The sequence below is a fragment of the Homo sapiens genome, chromosome 1 (genome assembly GCF_000001405.40).
Source record: "Homo sapiens chromosome 1, GRCh38.p14 Primary Assembly".
NCBI classification, from domain to species: Eukaryota; Metazoa; Chordata; class Mammalia; order Primates; family Hominidae; genus Homo; species Homo sapiens.
In genome coordinates, this window is record NC_000001.11 from 24673939 (window position 1) to 24689779 (window position 15841).

General features: G+C 46.7%; 1 annotated feature.

Moving 5' to 3' along the window:
* Positions 9800–10094: an enhancer, noted in NCBI's record as "tiled region #11281; K562 Activating DNase unmatched - State 8:EnhW". NCBI's record gives its function as "activates a minimal TATA promoter and a strong SV40 promoter by Sharpr-MPRA in K562 cells {active_cell/tissue: K562}" and the evidence as "EXISTENCE:reporter gene assay evidence [ECO:0000049][PMID:27701403]".

Below are 15841 nucleotides of genomic sequence, written 5' to 3' on the forward strand. Positions count from 1 at the left end.
GCAAGCTCCGCCTCCTGGGTTCAAGTGATTCTCCTGCCCCAGCCTCCCAAGTAGCTGGGATTATAAGTGCCCGCCACTACGCCAAGCTATTTTTTAAATATTTTTAGTAGAGATGGGGTTTCACCATCTTGGCCAAGCTAGTCTTGAACTCCTGACCTTGTGATTTGCCTGCCTCGCCCTCCCAAAGTGCTGGAATTACAGGTGCGAGCCACCGCACCGCTCCTTCTGCCTTAGGGAAGACACAGACACTGTCTGATTGCAGTGCTCTTCCCTTTGCCTGGTGGACTTCTCCCACCAGTATTCTAAATGTTCCAATCACATGCTGAGACTTTCCCTTTACAGCACTCACCACAGTTAATTATTGAAATAAAGATGGTAAAAACATCTTTCAAAGGACATGGACAGTAAATATACCTTCAACAATGAGGAGCTGTTTTTACAGGTGTTTTACAGGTTTAAAGTGATTTGTAACAAGCAAAAAAGCTTGATGAAACTTCTATAGGGACTGCACTAAGGTAGTGTAGAGTGAGTGACTCTACGCTCTATCCATGATAATAGAATTTTATGTGTGTGCAGCAACTTAAGAATTTTCAAGGGCCTTCTACATGGCTCCTTTTGATTTTACAATTCTATGATAAAAGAAAAGCACATAATACTTATTTTCTAAGATGATTTTTGCTGACATTTCCTTTCCAATAGGAACAAACCAGTGAACATCGTCAGAGTAGAGTTGGCCCTTGAACAATGAGAGGGTTGAGGCACTGACCCCTTGCACAGGCAAAAATTCAAGTATAATTTTTTTACTTCCTAAAAATGTACCTGCCAGGCATGGTAGATCATGCCTGTAATTCCAACACTTTGGGAGGCCGAGGCAAGAGGATTGCTTGAGCCCAGGAATTTGAGACCAGCCTGGACAACAATAGCGAGACCTCATCTCCAAAAAACTTTTTTTAAAAAAGCCCTAGGCATGGTGGTGTGTGCCTATAGCCTCAGCTACCCATGAGGCTGAGGTGGGAGGTTCACTTGAGCCTTGGAAGTTGAGGCTGCTGTGAGCCATGATCACACCACTGCACTCCAGCCTGGGCATCTCTGAGGCTGAAAAAGAGGGCGGGGGTTGGTCTTGCTGTCCCAGCAATGGGAGAGGTGGAAAAATCTGCCTATAAGTGGATCCATGTAGTGTAAACCTGTGTTCAAGGGTCAACTGTACTTGGGTCTAGCCAATCATTCAGTCCATTTGTTTACTCCGTAGGCTTTTATTCCTCCACTTGACTGGTCTTAAGATTAGCCATAGCCGGGCGCTGTGGCTCACGCCTGTAATCCCAGCACTTTGGGAGGCCGAGGCGGGCGGACCACGAGGTCAGGAGATCGAGACCATCCCGGCTAAAACGGTGAAACCCCGTCTCTACTAAAAATACAAAAAATTAGCCAGGCGTAGCGGCGGGCGCCTGTAGTCCCAGCTACTTGGGAGGCTGAGGCAGGAGAATGGCGTGAACCCGGGAGGCGGAGCTTGCAGTGAGCCGAGATCCCGCCACTGCACTCCAGCCTGGGCGACAGAGCAAGACTCCGTCTCAAAAAAAAAAAAAAAAAAAAAAAAAAAGATTAGCCATAGCCTGCCTTTTGCCAAATTGAACAATCAGTTCTGAATCCTTATTTTATTAGACCTCTGCAGGATTGGGCTCAATCACTCACTCTGTTGACTCACACTCGTGTTCTTTTAAGCAACACTAGTCGTCCTCCTACCTCACTAACTTTTGTCTCTAAAGGGTCCTTTTAAACATGCAGTGATGTAGTATGCCTTTTTTTGTGCTTGGTTGCCTTCCCTATACTTAATCCCTAGTCTCGTGATTTTAAGTGTCATCTTTATGTTTGAGGTGTTTAATCTCCAGTTCAAACTTCTCCCTGAGCTAGGCTCCTGTTGAGCTACCTGCTTGATAATGCCATTTATTTTATTTATTTATATGAGACAGAGCCTCCCTCTGTTGCCTGGCTGGAGTGCAGTAGTGCGATCTCGGCTCATTGTTACCTCTGCCTCCCGGGTTCAAGCAATTCTGCCTCAACCTCCCGAGTAGCTAGGACTACAAGGGCCTACCACCATGCCACTATGCCCAGCTAATTTTTTTTTTTTTTTTTTTTTTGAGACGGAGTCTTGCTCTGTCGCCCAGACTGGAGTTCAAGTGGCGCGATCTCAGCTCACTGCAACCTCCCCCTCCCAGGTACAGGCAATTCTCCCATCTCGGCCTCCCTAGTAGCTGAGATTACTGGCACCCGCCACCATGCCTGGCTAATTTTTTTTTTTTTTTTGAGACGGAGTCTCGCTCTGTTGCCCAAGCTGGAGTGCAATGGCGCGATCTCGGCTCACTGCAAGCTCCGCCTCCTGGGTTCACGCCATTCTCCTGCCTCAGCCTCCCGAGTAGCTGGGACTACAGGTGCCCGCCACCACACCCGGCTAATTTTTTGTATTTTTAGTAGAGACAAGGTTTCGCCAAGTTGGCCAGGCTGCTCTTAAACTCCTGACCTCAGGTGATCCACCCGCCTCGGCCTCCCAAAGTGCTGGGATTACAGGCGTGAGCCACCGTGCCTGGCTGCTAATTTTTTATTTTTAGTAGAGACGGGGCTTCACCATATTGGCCAGGCTGTCTCGAACTCCTGACCTCAAGTGATCCGCCTGCCTCGGGCTCCCAAAGTGCTGGGATTATAGGCATGAGGCACCACATCCGGCCATAATACCATAAAAGGCATACCAAAATTAACATGTCCAAAATAGGATTTTTTATACGATCCTGATCTCAGTCCATTTCAGTGCCTGTCACTGTGATTTATTCAAAATTGAAGAGTCCTTACAATCAGTGGCCATACTGTCCACTCCCCAATACCCGTGCATGCTGTTCCCTACAGCCCAAGTCAGATCACAGGTCTGCTAAAAATCCTCAGAAAGCTGTTTTAGAATAAAACGCAGATTTCTTACTATGGCCTGCAAGTTCTAATAGGATTGGGCCAAATTGGCTTTGGCAACTTTATTGTCACTCAGCAGTCTACTCAAGCCATGCTGGCCACCCTGTCTTCCTTTTTTTCCAAAAAGCTGACTTCTCTTTCAGAGATTTTTGTACCGTGCCCACTGTGCCTTTATCTTGGAAGGCACTCCTGCTCTTATTGCTTGTTTCTTTACTTGGTTTGCCTCAGACACTTCCCTAATTCCCTCTCCTTTGTTTTCATGGATGTCAACTTTTGCTACCTAAAGTGATGCATTTTTGCTCGCTAGGAAGTTGTCTTATTCATGGCTGTGTCCCCAGTGGTACAAACCAGTGTACCACTGTACACCGTATTCCAGTGTATTCATTCGATGAATGAATAAATTTAATTATCATTACATCCGTACTGGCCAGATACTACCAGGGTTTGAGGTAAAATGAAGAGGCCAGACGCAGTGGCTCATGTCTGTAATCCCAGCACTTTAGGAAGGTCGAGGTGGGGGGATTGCTTGAGCCCAGGAGTTTGAGACTAGCCTGGGCAACATAGGTGACTCCTGTCTCTACAAAAAGCCTAAAAATTAGCAGGTCATGGTGGCATGTGACTGTAGTCCCAGCTACTCCAGAGGCTGAGGAGGGAGGATCATTTGAGCCTGGGAGGTCAGGGCTGCAGTGAGCAGTGACTGTGCCATTTCACTCCAAAAAAAAAAAAAAGAAAAGATGGTTGCTGTCCTTAAGGAGCATCCACCTACTGGGTATGCAGACATGCAAACAATTTGCAGACTGCACACTGAGTCTGGTGAACCAGGATTTCTACCATAGCTTCTACTGTGTGGTCTTGGGCAAGTTACTTGACCTTGAAGTGGTGCCATTTCTTCTTCAATGGAAATGACGGAATCTATCTCAAGAGTTTCTGAAGATTTAAATGTGTCAGTTAATACATATAATGCAATGATACCACAAAGACAGCTTCCCATTCTAACACGACACATAGCCATTCTTGTAATTATGGCAAAATTTAGCTTAGGTGACTAAAACGGATTTTAGATCAGCCCCATTTAAGGCAATTTATTTCTCTTTTTTTTTAAGATTTAACTCACATGCCGTAAAATTCACCATCTCAGTGGTATTCAGAGGTTATGCAACCATCACCAATATCTATTCCAAAACACTGTCATCACCCCAAAAAGAAACTTCACGCTCATTAACAGTCACTTCAATTACCCTGACAGTTCTTTTAGCCCCAGCCCCTGGCAAGTACTTTCCTATCTATAGATTTGCCTGTTCTGTACATTTCACTGAAATCATACAATATTGGGCCTTTTGTCTGGCTTCTTTCACTTAGCACAGTGTGTTCCAGGTTCATTCATGTTATAGCAGGCATCAGTGCTTCATTTCTTTTTTATTTTTTTATTTTTATTTTTTGAAACAGGATGTCTATCTGTCACCCAGGCCAGAGTGCAGTGAGGCAGTCATGGCTCACTGCAGCCTCGACCTCCCAGGCTGAAGCAACCCTCCCACCACAACCTCCTAAGTAGCTGAGATTATAGGCATGCACCACCATGCCCGGCTAATTTTTGCATTTTTTTAGTACAGATGGGGTTTCACCATGACTGGTGTCGAACTCCTGGACTCAAGTGACTCACCTGCCTCAGTTTCCCAAAGTGCTGGTGTCAGAGGTGTTCAAACCAGAGCAACTCCATTTTGAATAGGGGCTGGGTAAAATAAGGCTGAGACCTGCTGGGCTGCATTCCCAGGAGGTTAGGCATTCTTAGTCATAGGATGAGACAGGAGGTTGGCACAAGATAAAGGTCACAAAGACCTTGCTGATTGATAAAAGTCTGTGGTAAAGAAGTTGGCCAAATCCCACCATAACCAAGATGGTGACGAGTGACCTCTGGTCATCCTCATTGCTCATTATATACTAATTATAATGTATTAGCATGCTAAAAGACACTCCCACCAGCACGGTGACAGTTTACAACTTCTGGAAGTTACCCTTTATGGTCTAAAGTGGGGAGGGACCCTCAGTCCCAAGAAATCCATGCCCCTTTCCTGGAAAACTCATGAATAATCCATCCCTTGTTTACCATATAATCAAGGAACAACTATAAGTATACTCAGTCGAGCAGCCCATGCCGCTGTTCTGCCTATGAAGTAGACTTTTTTTTCCATTACTTTCCTAATAAACAGACTTTTGACTTTACTCTATGGACTCACCCTGAATTCTCTCTTGGGGTCTGGATCAGGACCCCTTTCTGGTAACACTAGGATTACAGGCGTGAGCCGCCGTGCCCAGCCACTTCATTTCTTTTTACTGTTCGATAGTATTCCCTTGTTTGAATATACCATGTTTTGTTTATCCATCAGTTGAATATTTGGGCTATTTCCACCTTCTGGCTACTAGGATAAAGCTGCTATGAACATTTGCATACAAGTTTCTGTGTGGGCATGTGCTTTGACGCTGTTGGATATATGTGCCTAGGATTTGGAATTGCTGGGTCATGTGGTAACTGTATGTTTAATGTTTTTAGGAACTGCACCTTTTTTTTTTTTTTTTTTTTTTTGAGACGGAGTTTTGCTCTTGTTGCCCAGGCTGGAGTGCAATGGTGTGATCTCGGCTCACTGCAACCTCTGCCTCCCAGGTTCAAGCGATTCTCCTACCTCAGCCTCCTGAGTGCTGAGATTATACAGGTGCCCGCCACCGCGCCTGGCGAATTTTTGTATTTTTAGTAGAGGTGGGGTTTCACCATGTTAGCCAGGCTGGTCTTGAACTCCTGACCTCAGGTGATCCACCTGCCTCGGGCTCCCAAAGTGCTGGGATTATAGGCGTGAGCCACCGCACCCAGCCACAGCTGCACCATTTTACATTCCTACATCAGTGTGTGAGGATTCCAGTTTCCCCATGTCCTTGTCAATACTTGTCATTATCTGTCATTTTGATTATAACCATCCTAGTGGGCGTGAAGTGCTATCTCACTGTGTTTGATTTGCATTTGCCACATGGCTGGTGATGGTGAGCATCTGTTCATGTGCTGGTATTCCTCAATGCCACTTTAAGCTGATTTGTATCTGCATGAGCATGTTTCTGAAGTTGTGGCTATAGGATTAGATCCAGGGCTGGACTCAGAGTCCGTAGAGTGGAGCTGATGATATTTGTAGTACTCTCATACTCATATGTGGAGGTTGAGAATAGGGAATTATGGCCAAACCAAAATGTGTTCCCATTTTATAAACAGGATCAGGAGACTCAGGGAGAGTGTGACAAGGTAACTGGTAGGTGCAGTTCTAATTAATATTGTCCCTCCTACCATCTGATAAAGAACCCAATATTTTCGGTGGGGCACGGTGGCTCACGCCTGTAATCCCAGCACTTTGGGAGGCCGAGGCGGGTGGATCACGAGGTCAGGAGATCAAGACCATCCTGGCCAACATGGTGAAACCCCGTCTCTACTAAAAATACAAAAATTAGATGGGCGTGGTGGTGCACGCCTGTAGTCCCAGCTACTTGGGAGGCTGGGACAGGAGAATCGCTTGAACCTGGGAGGCAGAGGTTGCAGTGAGCCGAGATTGTGTCACTGCACTCCAGCCTGGGTGACAGAGCAAGACTCTGTCTCAAAAAAAAAAAAAAAAAAAAAAAAAAAAAATTCCTCAATATACCTGTCCAACTTCTAATATTATAACAGTCACATAAGATAGTGAATGTAGGGTGCGGCATAGTGGCTCACACCTATAATCCCAACACTTTGGGAGGCCAAGGTAGGTGGATCACTTGAGCCCAGGAGTTTGAGACCAGCCTGGGCAACATGATGAAACCTGTCTCTACAAAAAATACAAAAATTATCCGGGCATAGTGGTGTGTGCCTATAGTCCCAGATACTTGGGAGGCTGAGGCAGGAACATCACTTGAGCCTGGGAGGTCGAGGCTTGCAATGAGCCATATTTACACCACTGCACTCCAGCCTGGGTGACAGAACGAGACCTTGTCTTAGAAAAGAAAAAAAAAAGTGGATATAGAAACACCACCCAAATGTGTGGTTGTTAGGAAAACACTGGGGTTTAGGGTGTAGCTTATTATCCCAAGAAATCCAAGTTTAGAAGTTGAAAATTGCATGGCATTAATTTTTTATTTTTTTAGAGACAGGGTCTCTGTCACCCAGGCTGGAGTGCAGCAGCATGATCATAGTTCACTGTACTTTGAACCTTGAACTCCTGGGTTCAAAGGATCATCCTGCCTCAGCCTCCCAAGTAGCTGGGACCACAGGTGCACGCCACCATGCCGAGCTAATGTTTTGTATTTTTAATAGAGAAGGGGTTTCGCCATGTTACCCAGGCTGGTCTCAAAACTCCTGAGCTCAAGCAATCTGTCCGCCTCACCCTCCAAAAGTGCTGGAATTACAGGCGTGAGCCACCACACCTGGCCTGCCTGGCTAATTGTGTTAAAATTTTTTTATAGAGAAGGGGTCTCTTTATGTCTTCCAGACTGATCTTGAACTCCTGGCCTCAAGCAATTCTGCCTTGGCCTCCTGAAGTGCTGGGACTACATATGTGAGTCACCCACCCTGCAGGCTTTTTTTTTTCTTTTTGGACAGGGTCTCACTCTTTTGCCCAGGCTGGAGTGCAGTGGCTCAATCTTGGCTCACCGCAAACTCCACCTCCCAGAATCGAGCGATCCTTCTACATACAGGCAGGCGTATTTTGAGGCCCCAACTCTGCTCAATCCTGCAAGATCAACTCTAAGATTCCCATATTTTTGATTTGAAAGACCCATCTTAGTTCATACCGAACGTTGCCCTTTGGCTCTTAGGGACTCAGTTATTGCTGTGCTCCTAGTTTGATGAATTGGTAGCGTGAAAGGAAAATAAGCCTCGGGACACAAAAATCACTACGCCGACGGGAAAGTCAAGCTGGGAACTGCATCAGGTAAAACTGCCTCCCATTTTATTTCTAAATGAGATAGCTGCAAAGATAAAAAAGCGACGTACCTCCCTCACAATGTGCCCACGAGGAAATTCCTTTACTTTACTATAAAACATCTTTACTATAAAACAGTTACTCAACATCTTTACTATAAAACAGTTATGATGAATTTCACCCTGGCAATGTAAATTGATGGCTCGTCTTCACAGGTGCGGGAGAGACAGTCATCCCACTGGCCACCTGAGACAAATGCATATTTGATTGCTTCCTCTGCCCTCTTTTATTTATTTTATTTTATTTTATTTTTTGAGACAGGGTCTCCCTCTGTCGCCCAGGCTGGAGTGCAGTGGTGCAATCTCAGCTCCCTGCAACCTCTGCTTCCGGAGTTCAAGCGATCCTCCCACCTCAGCCTCCCAGGCAGCTGGGACTACAGGCATATACCACCATGCCCAGCTAATTTTTTGTATTTTTAATAGAGATGGGGTTTCATCATGTTACCCAGGCTGGTCTCAAACTCCTGGCCTCAAGTGATCTGCCGGCCTCGGCCTCCCAAAGTGCTAGGATTACAGGCGTGAACCACTGCACCCAGCCCCTCTGCCCTATTTTTTTTATGTAAAAATGTATATTCACTGAGCCAAACTAAAACATAGGTGACTATTTCTCTACTTTCCTGTCACATATAAATTGTATATTCAGTGAAAGGCTAATCAAAGACTCAAAAGAATGCAACTGTTTTTGTCTCTTATCTACCTATCACCTGGAACCTCCTCTTGTACCCTGCTTCAAGTTGTCCTGCCTCTCCAGACTGAACGTACATCTTACACGTATTGACTGATGTCTCATGGCTCCCTAAAATGCATAAAAGCAAGCTGTACCCACGCCACCTTGGGCACGTGTCATTAGGGCCTCCTGAGGCTGCCATGGCCACATCCTTAACCTTGGCAAAAATAAACTTTCTAAATTGATTGAGACCTGTCTCAGACACTTTGGGTTCACAGTAGGATCTGAAGTACAGGTTTTTCCAAAGCTCTTGGCAAAAACGTTTCATGTTTGTCAATATGTAGCAGGTTGGCAGGCTTTCATAATTATAAGAATGTCAAGCTTGAATAACGAGATTCAAAAAATAAGACTACGTACAGAGCCCAGAGCTTGAGGTTGGCTACCCAAGAGGATAGATTCAGGTTGTCCTAAATATACACTCCAATTAGCAGCAGTTACAAATGGGTCTCTTGAAGGAATAAAGAAGAGGCAGTTCTGAAATTGTTTACCAAGAATTTATTACATCTATCACATAAGCTCAGTCGGGCACAGTGGCTCGTGCCCGTAATCCCAGCACTTTGGGAGACCGAGGCGGGCAGATCATCTAAGATCAGGAGTTTGAGACCAGACTGACCGACATGGCAAAACCCCATACCTACTAAAAATACAAAAATTAGCTGGGTGTGGTGGCACGTGCCTGTAATCCCAGCTACTCAGGAGGCTGAGGCAGGAGAATTGCTTGAACCTGGGAGGCTTGTAGTGAGCCAAGATCATGCCACTGCACTCTAGCCTGGGCGACAGAGCAAGACTGTCTTAAAAAAAAACCAAAATAAAAATAGGGGCCGGGCGCGGTGGCTCATGACTGCAACCCCAGCACTTTGGGAGGCCGAGGCGGGCAGATCATGAAGTCAGGAGTTCAAGACCAGCCTGCTCAACATGGTGAAACCCCATCTCTACTAAAAAATACAAAAATTAGTTGGGCGCAGTGGTGCACTCCTGTAATCCCAGCTACTCGGGAGGCTGAGGCAGGGGAATCGCTTGTACCGGGGGAGCGGAGGTTGCAGTGAGATCAGGCCACTGCACTCCAGCCTGAGCAACAGAGTGAGACTCCGTCTCAAAGAAAAAAAAATTAGTTCTTGATTGGCCGTACATTGTTCTTTGTATCACAGATTCCAAGAGCATGAAGATAGTGGGTGAGGCAGCTAGTCAGGAACAAAATGCCTTTGAACAGTTGCCCCGGAGCATGGGGTTGTGGGGAAGAGGGATGACTAAAGTCCCATGCTCCTATATCTGTGAGCTTGATAAATGTTGCATGACTCACATAGCTCAGACTGCCCCGAGCTTTTTTTTTTTTTTTTCTCTCGGGGTTTCTGCCAAGATGCTGACCCTTATATTTCATGTCTATCAGAGAGGAGGAGCTGATGGGTGCTGAGTCCCAAGAGAAGCACCCTGTTTGCAGAGGGCTATGGATACCTCTCACCAGATGGGGCAGGAGGAACGACGGGAACAACTTAATATCAGTAGAATTGTAAACTCCTTAGCTGGAAGCTACCTTAAGGAAGTGTTTCACAGACTGTAGGTTGAGACCCATGAGTGAATTGTAAAATTTAATGTATCACAACTAGCATTAAAAGAAAAAGAAAACAATAAACTTGAGTCTGAATCGCATATAGCGGGTTAAGTATTGTTTCATGGATCGTGTATATATATTCATGTATGTGTGTGTGTGTGTGTGTATGGGGTTGCAATATTAAATGTATTCTAGACTGGACATGGTTGCTCATGCCTCTAATCCCAGGACTTTGGGAGGCTGAGGCAGGTGGTTCACTTGAGGCCAGGAGTTTGAGACCAGCCTGGCCATCATGGTGAAAACCCATCTCTACCAAAAATATATATATATACAAAAATTAGCCAGGCGCGGTGGTACACACCGTAGTCCCAGCTACTTGGGAGGCTGTGGCATGAGAATTACTTGACACCCAGGAGGCGGAGCTTGCAGTGAGCCGAGATCGCGCCACTGCACTCCAGCCTGGGCAACAGAGCAAGACTCTGTCTCAAAAAAAATAAAAATAAAAATAAAATAAAAAATATTCTAGACCAGGCACAGTGGCTCACGCCTGTAATCCTAGCACTTTGGGAGGCTGAGGTGGGCAGATCATGAGGTCAGGAGTTCAAGACCAGCCTGACCAACATGGTGAAACCCTGTCTCTACTAAAAACACAAAAATTAGCCAGGTGTGGTGGCAAGCGCCTGTAATCTCAGCTACTCAGGAGGCAGAGGCAGGAGAATTGCTTGAACCCGGGAGGTGAAGTTTGCAGTGAGACGAGATTGTACCACTGTATGCCAGCCTGGGTAACACGGTGAGGCTCCGTCTCAAAAAAAAAAAAGTATTCTAATGCGATTTATAATTAACAAAATCAAAACTATCTACTTTATAGATATCTAGGCTGCCAGTTTTTAAACTGGCCTGCAGAGTCCTTAGGAGGAAGTTATAGTTCAAACTTTCTCTGTAAAATAGAGCCACTAGTAGGACCTAGCCAAAAAAAAAAAAAAAAGTGAAAACCACTGATCTGGGCCAGGCGCGGTGGCTCACACCTGTAATCCCAGCACTTTGGGAGGCCGAGGCGGGCGGATCACGAGGTCAGGAGATCGAGACCATCCTGACCAACATAGTGAAACCCCGTCTCTACTAAAAATACAAAAAATTAGCTGGGCGTGGTGGTGGGCGCCTGTAATCCCAGCTACTTGAGAGGCTGAGGCAGGAGAATTGCTTGAACCCAGGAGGTGGAGGTTGCAGTGAACCAAGATCGCACCATTGCACTCCAGCCTGGGTGACAGAGCGAGACTCCATCTCAAAAAAAAAAAAAAATAGTCTAAAGCCCCGAACTAACTAGCCCAAGGTCCCCACACTCCCACACACCATAGCAAACTCATGGCCCCGGCACTTTCCCACTCTATCACACTGCCTCAGCCAGGGTGCTCGTAAAATTGCCCAACTTCTGTTGTAGTGAAGGAAACAAAGACCAGGTGAGGTCAGCCAGGGCGTCTGAAGTAGGAGGAGAAGTGGTTCCAGTGGACCCTGGTAACATGGAGTGAAAAGCCGCACCTGGGAAAAGGGTGTGAAACAACGGTCCTTATGAAGTTCAGCATGTGTTTCTTCACCAAGACCCTCCTCAGTGCACAACCAGGCCCGGGGCTTCTGGCATTTTAAACGTGGGGGCTTGGCTTCTGTAGCCAACCAGAGGGAGGTGCCAAAGCCTAACTGGTCTCAGCCCGGTCGGACCCACCCAGGCAGTAGGGATTTGCCGAGCATCCGCCAGGTGCTCATGGCTGGTTCAAGGCTCATACCCTGGGATTTCCCACTTTCTTTCTTTTGCTTTTCTTGCTTCTTGCTGTTTCTGCCTGGAATGTCCTTTTTCTTTTGGTGGGGGGTGGCCAGGGCGGGGGCCGGTGGGGGCAGAGTCTTGCTCTGTCGCCCAGGCTGGAGTGCAATAGCGTGATCTCAGCTCACTGCACCCTCCGCCTCCTGGGCTCAAGTCATCCTCCCACCTCAGCCTCCTGAGTAGCTGGGACTATAGGCGGATGCCAGCAGGCCCAGCTAATTTTTGTATTTCTGGTAGAAGTGGGGTTTGGCCACGTTGCCCAAGCTGGTCTCAAACTCCTAAGCTCAAGCAGTCCTCCCACCTTGGCCTCCCAAAGTGCTGGGATCACAGGGTGGGCCACTGCACCTAGCCTGGTATGTCCTTTCTTGTCCAAATCTTTGTTGGACTTATAAATGCATTTAATATGATATTTTCTTTTCTTTTTTTTCTTTTTTTCTTTTTTTTTTGAGACAGAGTTTTGCTCTTGTCGCCCAGGCTGGAGTGCAATGGTGTGATCTCAGCTCAACGCAACCTCCGCCTCCCGGGTTCAAGTGATTCTCCTGCCTCAGCCTCCCGAGCAGCTGGGATTACAGCCATGTGCCAACCACGCCCGGCTAATTTTGTATTTTTAGTAAGACAGGGTTTCTCCATGTTGGTCAGGCTGGTCTCGAACTCCCAGCGTCAGGTGATCCACCCGCCTTGACCTCCCAAAGTGCTGGTATTACAGGTGTGAGCCACTGTGCCCGGCTATAGCATACATTTTAAAAGTGTTTTCTATGGCCAGGAAAATTGGAAAATAAATAAAAGTCACCCCTATGCCAACATCAAAACACAGCCACAGTCCTCCCCGTTGTAAATTTCTTACCCAGTCATTTAAAAATAATTTTAGATGCCTTTTTTTTTTCTTTCAGACAAAGTCTCGCTCTGTTGCCCAGGCTGGCGTGTGCAGTGGCATGATCTTGGCTCACTGCAACCTCCACCTCCCAGGTTCAACTGATTCTCCAGCCTCAGCCTCTCCAGTAGCTGGGATTACACGCATGTGCCACCATGCCCGGCTAATTTTTTTTGTATTTTTTTAGTAGAGACGGGGTTTTACCATGTTGACCAGGCTGGTCTCAAACTCCTGACCTCAGGTGATCCACCCGCCTCGGCCTCCCAAGGTGCCAGGATTACAGGCATGAGCCACTGTGCCCAGCCTAATTTTTGTGTTTTTAGTAGAGACAGGGTTTTGCCATGTTGGCCAGGTTGGTCTGGTATTCCTGGCCTCAAGTGATCTGCTCTCCTTGGCCTCCCAAAGTGCTGGAATTACAGGCGTGAGCCACCGCGCCTGGCCTTATAGGATATTTTCTAATTTTAAAAAGACATGCTCATTTTTAGAGAATTTGGAAAACATAAAAATCTAGAGAAAAAATTATTGGCAATCCCACCATCCTAATATAATCAAAGACACCTGTCCTAGGTCAAATGTCCTACCTGGCTACACCGAACCCACCCTGAGCTCCTCTCCTCTAATATATAAAATGAGTCAGGTTTTTTCTCTATAAGTACATTCATAGCTACAAATATCAGGATCATACCAGATACACATAATATTTAATATTCTTTTTTTCACTGGGCATAATATGAACTAGAATTATAGCATACTTTTTTTTTTTTTTTTTGAGACGGAGTCTTGCTCTGTCGCCCAGGCTGGAGTGCAGTGGTGCAATCTCGGCTCACTGCAACCTCCACCTCCCGGGTTCAAGTGATTCTCTAGCCTCAGCCTCCCGAGTAGCTGGGATTACAGGAGCGTGCCATGCCCAACTAATTTTTTTTGTATTTTTTAGTAGAGACAGGGTTTCACCATGTTGACCAGGTTGGTCTCGAACTCCTGACCTCAGGTGATCTACCCGCCTCGGCCTCCCAAAGTGCTAGGATTACAGGCGTGAGCCAGCATGCCCAGCCTAATTTTTGTATTTTTAGTAGAGACAGGGTTTTGCCATGTTGGCCAGGTTGGTCTGGAACTCCTGGCCTCAAGTGATCTGCCCGCCTCGGTCTCCCAAAGTGCTGGAATTACAGGCATGAGCCATCACACCCAGCCAGATGCTTCTATTTATTTAAACTTTAACCTCTGTAGGTCAAATGGTAGTGATGGTACCCACCTTCACAGGGTTTTTGTGAGCATTAAATTAGACAAATGAAACACAGGCCCTGTCCCAGCGGAGATCATGGCATGTGGGCAGGGGTCGAGGGTGGGAGCCAGGGGACACTCAGGCAGTGATAAAACAAGGTGACTGGTGACACAGAGAGGGGAGCTGTGCAGTGTAGCAGTGGTCAGCAGTCCTGCAGCCAGCTTCTCAGCCACAGACATACTTACTGTGAGACCTGGGCACATGACTTCACCTCCCTCAGCCTCCTCTGTTTCCTCTTCTGTTAAATGGGCATGGATTCAATAACATCATACAGGTAGAGGGCTTAGCTCATGCCTGGCATGTCACAAGGGCTCCATCAATGACAGTTTTCAGTGTTCCATCAAATCTTACATACGTGCAATTGTAGGATGCACCACCACCTATTAAACCACCACCGCATTCATTGTAAGACGTATCTGACTTTAGAGAGGTCAAAATACAGGGGAAAAAAGTCTTAAATTTCACTATATCCAGTGTCATTATTCAGAAGGGTCTGGGACACTGAGGTAGGGCTCCTGAGTTAGCTCAGGGACACACTCATCCGTCACTCTCAATTTCTTCGTCTCTGTCCCTCTCTCTGGCCTTCTCTTCGTTTTCTGAGCCTTCCACTAGGTGGCACCCGGGCCTGGGTGCCTGCTGTGGAGCTGATGCCCTGAGGTCAGTCCTGCCCCTCCGGCTTCTCCATGCTTTCTTCCCCTTTCCTTTTTCCTCCTCCCCACCTTTTATCCTGCAAGTGGGAGGCTTTGATTCAGTGCTCAGAGGTTCCCTGTAGGATTGCAGAACTTGAAGAACAGCTACAGGGCTCCTGCCGTCCACTGGCTCCAGCCCATCCCAAGCGGGAATTCCTTCCCAGCAAGTCCCCAGCTCTCACTTGCATACCTTCAGTGGCAGGAAACTCACTACTTCATGAGGATCCCGTTCCATCGTGGTCATGCACTTGGGCTCTGAAGACGCTCCCCCGAGGGTCCTAGGGAACCCACTTTCTAGTCCTTCAACAGCAGGCGACTTGGGCCTTTGTCTACTTTGTGTACTGGGGAGTCCCCAAGGCCTGGCACAGGCGAGGCATTGAGTGAATGAATGACAGTCAATGAACACACTCAGTTGTTCTGTGCATCTGTTTCATTACCTGTGAAACAGGGTTAATAATAGTATTTACCTCATAAGGCTGTGAGGATTAAATGAGACAGGACCTCTAAACAGGTTTAGTGCCATGCCTGGTACATAATAAATCCTCAGCAAATATTGTTTTCCTCTTATTTTTTCTCTTCTTTAATAGCTACAGATAGCTCTACTCTTTTTTTCTTTTTTTTTTTGACGTGGAGTTTCGCTCTTGTTGCCCAAGCTAGAGTGCAGTGGTGTGATATTGGCTCACCGCAACCTCCACCTCCCAGGTTCAAGTTATTCTCCTGCCTTAGCCTCCTGAATAGCTGGGATTACAGGCATGTGCCACCATGCCCAGCTAATTTTTGTATTTTTAGTACAGATGGGGTTTCTCCATGTTGCTCAGGCTGGTCTCCAACTCCCGACCTCAGATGATCCGCTGGCCTTGGCCTCCCAAAGTGCTGGGATTACAGGTGTGAGCCACCACACCTGGCTGCCATAGCTCTGCTCTTATTATCTGAAAGATCTGTTTTAGAGCAAAGTGATTCTGATTTTTTTTTTT